This window comes from Homo sapiens, chromosome 8, assembly GCF_000001405.40.
Source record: "Homo sapiens chromosome 8, GRCh38.p14 Primary Assembly".
Classification (NCBI taxonomy): Eukaryota; Metazoa; Chordata; class Mammalia; order Primates; family Hominidae; genus Homo; species Homo sapiens.
In genome coordinates, this window is record NC_000008.11 from 54,447,948 (window position 1) to 54,456,683 (window position 8,736).

The following is an 8,736-nucleotide window of genomic DNA, read 5'->3' on the forward strand; positions in this document are numbered from 1 at the left end:
TTGATACAATCTAGGGAATAAAAAGAGAATCAATTGGCCAGGCATGGTGTAATCACACCTGTAATCCCAGCACTTTGGGAGGCTGAGGCGGGCGAATCACCTGAGGTCAGGAGTTCGAGACCAGCCTGGCCAACATGGTGAAACCCTGTCTGTACCAAAAATACAAAAATGTTAGCTGGGTGTGGTGGTGGGCACCTGTAATCCCAGCTACTTGGGAGGCTGAGGCAGGAGAATCACTTGAACCTGGGAGGCAGAGGTTGCAGTGAGCCAAGAACATGCCATTGCACTCCAGCCTAGGTGACAAGAATGAAACTCCATCTCAAAAAAAAAAAAAAAAAAAGAAAGGAATCCACAGAGATACAAATAAACAAACAAATAAAAGAAGGGAGAACTTCCTTACAGTAGAAGGAATACATGCCATTTCATTGTCAGAGTTCTCAACACAAAGACACACACAAAATTCTCACTTACAAAGGGGAAAAATAGTGACCTGAAGGTAGAGAAACTGGGTAGACACCAACTTGATGAAGTGACCAGATTAGCATCACCAGTGATGATGAGACGTCCGACGGCCTTCCTTGTCATACCCTGATGGGAGCACACCACCATATCAACGATTTTCCTACAAAGAATGTGTGAGTCAACATAGACAGACCAGGGTGTGGGACATTCTTGGCATGAAAGGCCTGCACTCTTTAAAACTATAAAGGTTATAAGATAGACAGAAAAATATGGAAGACCTTTGATAAATAAATGTAACTTGATCCTGAATTGGATGTTGGGCCAGAAAGAGAAAAGAGGCATTGTTGAAGCAGCTTGCAAAATTTGAATTGAGTATGTGGCTTAGATGGTAGTGACGTATGGTAGTAATGTCAATTTCCTAATTTGTATGGTATTTGATGGTTTTGGGGAGAGTGTCCACATTTTAGGGGAATATACACTGGAGTATTTGGAGTAAGTGATGAGACATTGTGCCACAGCTTGCTCTCAAATGGGTCAGAAAAAGACTAATGGCATGCATATATGCATATGATTTAATATAGAATATGTAACAATATATCCATATTACATATTTATATAGTATCTATATTAATATATTATATACTAATGTATTCTATGTTTCTATTGTTCTGTGTATGTATATTTAGAAAAGAAGAATGAGATGGAACAAATGTGGGAAAATGTTTATTTAGATAGAGATGGAGCAAAAGATAAAATGCTGGTGAGGCGCAGTGGCTCACGCCTGTAATCCTAGCACTTTGGAAGGTCAAGGCAGGTGGATCACTTGAGGTCAGGAGTTCGAGACTAGCCTGGCCAACATGGTGAAAACCTATCTCTACTAAAAATATAAAAATTAGCCTGGTGTGGTGGCGCAAACCTGTAATCCCGGCTACTGAGGAGGCTGAGGCAGGAGAATCAAGTGAACCTGAGAGGTGGAGGTTGCAATGAGCCCAGATCACGCCACTGCACTCCAGCCTGTGCGACAGTGAGACTCCATCTGAAAAAAAAAGAAAGCTAACACAGCAGTCTCAGAAAAGGTGATACAGTTCTTTGTGTTATTCTTGGAACTTCTCTGCAAGTTTGACATTATTTCAAAATAAGTGATTTTAAAAGAATATCTGTGTATTTATATAGTGGTATAAGTAACAAACACTTTCATTTTTAGTGGAATATGTAGTATTTCATATGGAAGATATTTCCATTTTTCAATACTCTCTAGGAATTCTGGAACTTGGAAGGAAGGGGGTGAGTTATATAGCCCTTTTTAGCCCCTGTAAAAATGTTATATAACCAGAAAATGTCAAAAAGAAAGAGTTATCTATTCTCTGTCCAAATTCCCAAATTCTACTTTTAGATTAGCCACTGAAATAATCGATTAGCTTTACTAACGTAATGGAAACCCAGTAAATCCATAGTCATTCCTCATAAAAGTAGAATCTGCATTCCCCTGGATCAAAGGTAGGGACCCTCTGTGCAATAATTAATTTCAAATAATTTTAAAAAGGGTTTGCTCTATAAAAAAATAGCATTCCATTTTTACCCAAAGCAGTATAGTCTTCTTTACAGTCCCTGACTTGCGTTTTATCTCAATTTGCTATTTTTTTCTGTACAGAAAATTTTCTCTAAATCATTATATCCCTAGACACACACACACACACACACACACACACACGCACACACAGTTTTACTCAGCACTTTTACTTTACAAAGGTGTCTGTGATCATTTTTTTCACTTCTTTATCTGACAAAGATCTGACATTCTCCCCTTCTTTTTTTGGGAAAATTGAGGGTGAGGACTTGCAATTTACCTGGTAGCAAGTTATTGAACAACCGAGACTAGAATTTAGTCTTTTCACTCTACAACACAAAGATCTAGCCTAGGTTAGTACATTTGTGGGTTATTCTTCCTTTAAAATACTTGATACCAGCCACACTTATTGAGATTGTACTCTGCCTCTGTAAGTCTTTAGGAGAAGAATTTAGGCCTACCCATGTAAATACCCATTTGCAAAGCATCTCTTTGCATTGCAAAGATATACTAATAGAATATTGAATTCTTTGCAATTGTATTTTTGCTTGCCGGTTGTAACAGGGTTTTAGAAGGTTGACATTCACAAAACAAAGACTTCTTTTACCACCAGAGTAAAAATGCTCACATTCAAATATAACTAGAAAATGAACAATAATTTATAGAGAAATCTCTGAAAGTTTTGCTAGTGTAAGACAATTTTGATTAAAGTATAACAATGTTGTTACTAGCTATCATAGATGTTAACACATGATATTATACATTCCATCTAGTTGCTATAATGCATGTACCCTCAACACTGTGGTAGTTTTATTTTATTTTTTCTCACAATGTTTTCATAAGCTAACATGCATTTATTTAATTTAATTTTATTTATTAAATACCTGTGTAGAACTTACTATGTGCCTGGCCCTATTATAAGTAGTTTATGAATAATTAATTCATTTCATCCTCATAAAACTCCCTGAGGTCATTACTATTACCATCCTCCAGTTCACAGATGAGGTCTAAAGAAGATTAAGCAACGTGTCCAAGGAATACACCACTGGTAAACTGTAGAACTAGAATTCCAGCCCAAGCAGTTCAACTCCAAATATGTGTTCATAACCAATGTGTCATGCTGTGCCAAGCCTCAGATTCACAGTTGTTGGATAATTATTTGTGGATTAAATGAACAAATTACTCTCTTGTCTCTTAGGCTGATTTGAAAGCATTAAGCAAATTACCCAATTGTTCTGTACCTTATTTTTTCACTTTGTAAAACAGAATTGATAATATTTGCCATCCATTTCTCTTCCAAACAACAGGAAGAATGGAGAGCATTTACTTTACCTACCTGCTGTATGTTTTTATGTCTTTAAGACTGGATCTGCAGTGGGTCTAGAGTAGGCTAACAGCTTATACCTTAAACAGGCAACAAAACCACAATTCAGTATAATTAAGTTGCTTTCCATCTGAATGAGTGTGAAGTAGAGGGGCAAAAGTTTGAGAACTTCAACTTCCTTACACATGAGCTTTATTCCCATTTAACTCTGAACTGTTCTGTCTTTTTTTCAGCTGAATCAGAATTTGTTTGTGTAAAATAATAGTTAAATGAAATGTTATCTAGGGCTTAGATTATATGATCTAATAAAAATATCAAGTTATAGATCTTCTAAATGAAAATGCTTTCCTCTTACAGCACTGCATCTCTAATATTTAAAAATTATCAGGACCTAGTTAGGGATAACACTGGAAGTTTCTGTGCCAAGGGTCCTTACTCCATCTCTGTCTATCCACTGTCTTTATTTTGTCCCTGCGCTTTCCATTAGGTTCTTTATTGGCTGTAGACATGGCATGAAAAGAAATTCAAAACAAGACCCACTAATGTTTTGTTTTGTTTTTTTTAGAAACAGGATCTTGCTCTCTTGCCCAGGCTGGAGTGCAGTGATACAGACATGGCTCATTGCAGCCTCCAACTCCTGAAGACCCACTACTGATAGCAGCAAGGGCAGATAGCTGGTCCAAGCACTCTTGTGTGCTTTTGAGCAAATCATCTGTCCTTTCTCAATCTTAATCTCCTCTTCTGAAAAATGAGGCTAATAACAAAGGCTGCACTGTCTACCTCCAGAGCTGTCAGGAGGGTCAGAGAAATTAGTGAAACTGCTTTGTAAACTGTCCTCTACCATTATGAAGACGTTAATACTAAAGGTCAGTTTCGAAAAATTTTCCAAATATAGACATTTGCTTTTGCATTATATCCACATGCAAAATTATCCATTTACATTCTTGGCCTGGAGCTCCAAGTGGAATCAGTTCAGAAAAGAAACAGAATTTGACTTAATCCTCAAAAAAGGTGGTATTTCAGATGCTCAATGAATGTCTGGAGACTAAACTCCTGGTGAATGAGAAAAAGAATATGACAGACCTGAAGTCAGATGACCACAGGCCTACACAGATGTGTCTGAGATGAGAACAGTCTTTGCTAAGGTCTACAGAGGTCATTCTCAGTGCCTTTGCTAAGGTCTACAGAGGTCATTCTCAGTGCCTTGCCTTGTAGGGAGATGACCTTAGGACTCCATCCATGACAGCTGTAACAGTATACTGAAGAATATATTGAAGACCAGTGAATTGCGTGGGCTCTCAGGACATAAAGATGAAATGTACCAAAGACCCTGTGTTGTTATTAAAGAGTATTGACAGTTTTGCAAGGTCCAAAAAGTGGACAGAGAAGAAAATTTAGTTAACAGGTTAACCAAATACTGACTGCAAAGGAATCTAGCAAGGATCCCTAACATTTTCTCTTCTGTTCAGAAACTTTGGAAGCCAATTCAGATACCCTTTCAAAATCTGACATGTGTGTGGCTAAAGTTGTACAAAACAGTGGGTAATGAGTGTTGTCAGAAGTGGCCTGTCCTATGCCCTATTTAACTTTGATCACTTCCATGATAACAAAATGCACACCTTGCCCTAACCATCTGGCACAATCCAGCCCTGCTTACCAGGGAAACTTGGCAAGCCAGAGTTTTCAGGGTGGAAAGGAAACCTATTATCTCTACTAGAAAAAAAAAATCTCAAAGCGCTTGACCTACTGATGTCAGCATCACCTTTACATGCCAGGAACAAATTATTACAGAAGACCATACCTAGAACACCCAGCTGGAAGTTAATGAATCAGGGAGGAAGACTAATGACACGGCACGGTACATTCCTCCGAGGCAGGGACCGCGTCTATTCTCCTTCGGGTGGGAGTGGAAGTGCTCTGCGCACAGTGGGCACGCTGCTGATAAGGCTGTCTGGTCAGGTGAGGACACAGGTCTCCAAGGAAAGCCCTGCCTTCTCCTAGGGTGTGGATGGGGAAAGTGGGAGTAGGAGTTCACCTGCAGCACCGAGTGCATAGAAGCTCTGCCGCTATTGAAATCCCTTTTAAGGCTGAGGGGCAGATCTGAAAGGGGTGAGCAAGACAGTACTGTGTATGTGACGAGTCCTGGGTGAGGAACGGGACCCTCTCCCTCATTCCCAACGCCACCTCTCCCTGGAGTATGAGGTTCCACAGCCCAGGCAATAAAGGGAAGTAGCCCACACACCTCAACCCGGGGCCACAGTTGGAGGTGGGGAGATCTAAGAAACACTCCACGGATGAGTTTCTGAAGAGGGAAGTGGACCGGGAACAGCGCATTTCCTGCTTCGCCTGTGCAAATCCCAGGCGGGGCCAAGCGGGAACGGGGACACGGTCTAAGAGTCGCCCGCTGCCAGGGAGGGGTTGGGGGGCAGCCTCGAGGGGACACCGCGGAACCAGGGAGGGATGCGCATGGAGGGAGTGGGAGAAGGCGTCCAAGTAAAATGCATGCTCCGGTCATCGGGGGTAACGCGCGTCCCCAAATCCCCTCTCGCTGTCGCCCTTTTTTTCAGTCCTCACGGGGAGAGGCCGGCGCAGCAGTGGAGCACCGCAGGGGCTGGATCGGACCCGCACTGCAGCATCTGCAGGGCTCCGACCTGGTGCGGGCCTCCAAGGCAGGGGGCGCGCGGCGGCACAGCCGGTGGCCGCGATTTTCCGGGCCACTCCTTCCCCCCTTACACTCCCCTCCCGCCCGCGACCTTCGACCTCCATCCTGGACCCACGGGGTACTGGCCCGGGGACAAGGAGGAGACGTTAAAGGTATCAAGGGGCGCGGCACCGCCGCCTAGACGGCGCCGGGACGCGAGGTGCGAATCGGCGGCGTCCGGCTGCGCTGCCCTACCTGGGAGGTGCGGGACCCTCGGCCGCGCTCCACCGCCGCGCGCCACCTCGTGCTGGCCTCCGGGAGGCAGCCGCCCGCGCACGATTTATAAATGCAAAGGCCTTATTGTTGTTCTTTGTTCAGGGATACCATTGTCTAGTCATCCACGGGCAGCCTGGAGTTTTCCCAGGGTTTGCGGCGCGCACTCCCCTCCCCCGCCCCCACAGACTTGCTCTCCAGCGCCAACCCGGATCTGCCTAGGTGCCCACGGGTCCTTCCCGATCGACTTGAGTGTCCTTCCTCCAGCCCCTGCTTTCCCAGCATCGAAAACACAAAAGCCTGCCGGAAATCACCCAGCCTTTGCCTGGTCACTCAGGGGCCCACGGATAAGCGTGGCTCTGATTCCTCCAGGTCAGCCCCACGGTTCGCCACCTACCCGAGTTAATTTCTGCGCCCGCTGACCAAAGGCCCCAACTGGCAACGGGCACAGCTTCTTGGTGCGCTAGTCGCTTCCTTGCCCAGCCTTTAGAGCCTCGGGTCCGGCCCAAGGACCCGGGGACGTGAGCGCAATTAGTAGCCAGGAGCCCTGCGACCCTGGACCGTGCAGTGCTAACGCACCCGAACGGCTATGCGAGCGGTGTACTCGGCTCTTACTTGTGAAAGTTGTTTCCCCCAACCCCCTGCGTAAATCTCTTGTGTTGAGAAAAGCAAGGCTTGCAGGAAGCCACTCCGGATGTTTGCTGCTTTACATGTGGCATCTGTGGCTGGCTCTGATAACGTCCCGGGGCACCACGTATTAAAGTGAAGAGACTGAAATAGAAGGCTCCACACACCGCGCGCGGGTCAGCGACGTCGCCGCCCTCCACACTGCCCCCCGAAATATAAGACAAGCGAATGATCAGAAGAAATGAGATCTAACTAGGTCACAGTATGTAAAAGGGACTAGTCTTGGAAAGCCACCACAATTCCTCCCCTGTAAATTTGTAAACTGTGAATTTATGATCTCAGGGAGGGTGTTATAAGAAGTAGGGGGAGGGGCGTCAAAATCTGAAGCTCCTACTCCAACCTATGATTGTGTACTTTCACCTGATTTCTCTTACCAGACCAAGATCAGTCCCCAAGAACAAGGGCAAATAAAAATAGGGAAACCCGGCCGGGCGCGGTGGCTCACGACGGTAATCCCAGCACTTTGGGAGACCAAGGCGGGCGGATCACCTGAGGTCAGGAGTTTGAGACCAGCCTGACCAATATGATGAAACCCCGTCTCTACTAAAAATACAAAAATTAGCTAGGCGTGGTGGCATGCGTCTGTAATCCCAGCTACTCGGGAGGCTGAGACAGGAGAATCGCTTGAATCGGGGAGGCGGAGGTTGCAGCGAGCCGAGATCGCGCCATTGCACTCCAGCCTGGGCAACAAGAGGGAAACTCTGTCTCAATAAATGAATAAGTAAATAAATCAATAAAATATGGAAACCCCACGTTTTCTTCCCCATCATTTTCTCCACCTTCTTGGCTCCCAAGCGCACCTCTCCCAATAATGAGCTGGGTGAGGAAGAGCATGAGGATGAAGAAAGTGTACAGGGCTAAATCTGTATATGTACATTTTTTGGACTCACACCTGGATTGTATTTCCTGTAGTGTTTTTTAAGGAATTAGTCAAACAGACTAGACAGATAAAAATGAATTCTGGACCAGATATTGTTTTTTAATTTTCAATGTTTATTCTAGGAAAACTCCTTAGCTCATAAAAGATTTAGTGTTAAGAGAAAATTCTGCTTTGAGAGCTTTGAAAAATATTTATTATTATCCAGAAAAGTTAGAAAAGATCTCAAAAAAAAAAAAAAAAAAAACAGCAAAAAACAAGGTACTACGGGGTTAATTTGTAGATTGCTCTCTCTCCTCCTATAGTTTTGTTGCTTATTTAATCATTTGCAATGTGCTTTTGCTTTATACTGAAGCCCATTTTTTTTTCAGAAAAAATAAAGCTTTAAAAGTACATCATCATTTAAATTTGTCTAAAATCAACCGCTTTCAAAACTACCAACTAGAAGTAACACCTCTCTATGATTTCTTTATGCAGATTTAATTTTTTTTCTTGTTTGAATCTTAGAGACCCAGGAACTAGAAACACTTTCTTAACTTGTCCCCTAGCCAAGGCTTCACAGATACTTGCAGAATTAAAGATAAGTTGGCTTAAAACAATTGTGTAAGAGTTCTTTTGAGAAAAAGCAATGCCAGAGAAACTGAAGGCCAGGAGTTTGCAAAAGTTTTGTATTTTTATGGATGCCACTAATAAGCAAGACTGGACAGACGGTCTTGTTGTTGTAGTATCACACTCAAAGCAGCAGCATTTTACTTCTCAGATTCCAGGTGTAAGCTCTACTTTTTTATCACGCCTTCATAATAAAGAAAATCTGTTCTGGAGATTCGTATATTGATTTCTTTGCAAAGTTATCTCTAATTATGCAGGAATGGCTGTTAGTTGCCCTCAAAAACCAACACAAATAC

The 8,736-nt window shown here is 43.3% G+C and overlaps 1 long non-coding RNA gene across 2 annotated transcripts in view; it reads right to left on the reverse strand.

Moving 5' to 3' along the window:
• LOC105375841 (uncharacterized) overlaps nucleotides 1-7,037 on the reverse strand; it is a 28,089-nt gene extending 21,052 nt beyond the window's left edge. Inside the window, exon 1 of one of the 2 annotated variants that reach the window (XR_928899.2) lies at nucleotides 6,665-7,037. This is a non-coding gene — a long non-coding RNA (uncharacterized LOC105375841). Of the gene's footprint in view, nucleotides 1-6,249; nucleotides 6,311-6,664 lie in introns of those variants that run through there. The other variant, XR_928898.2, reaches the window with a different exon arrangement.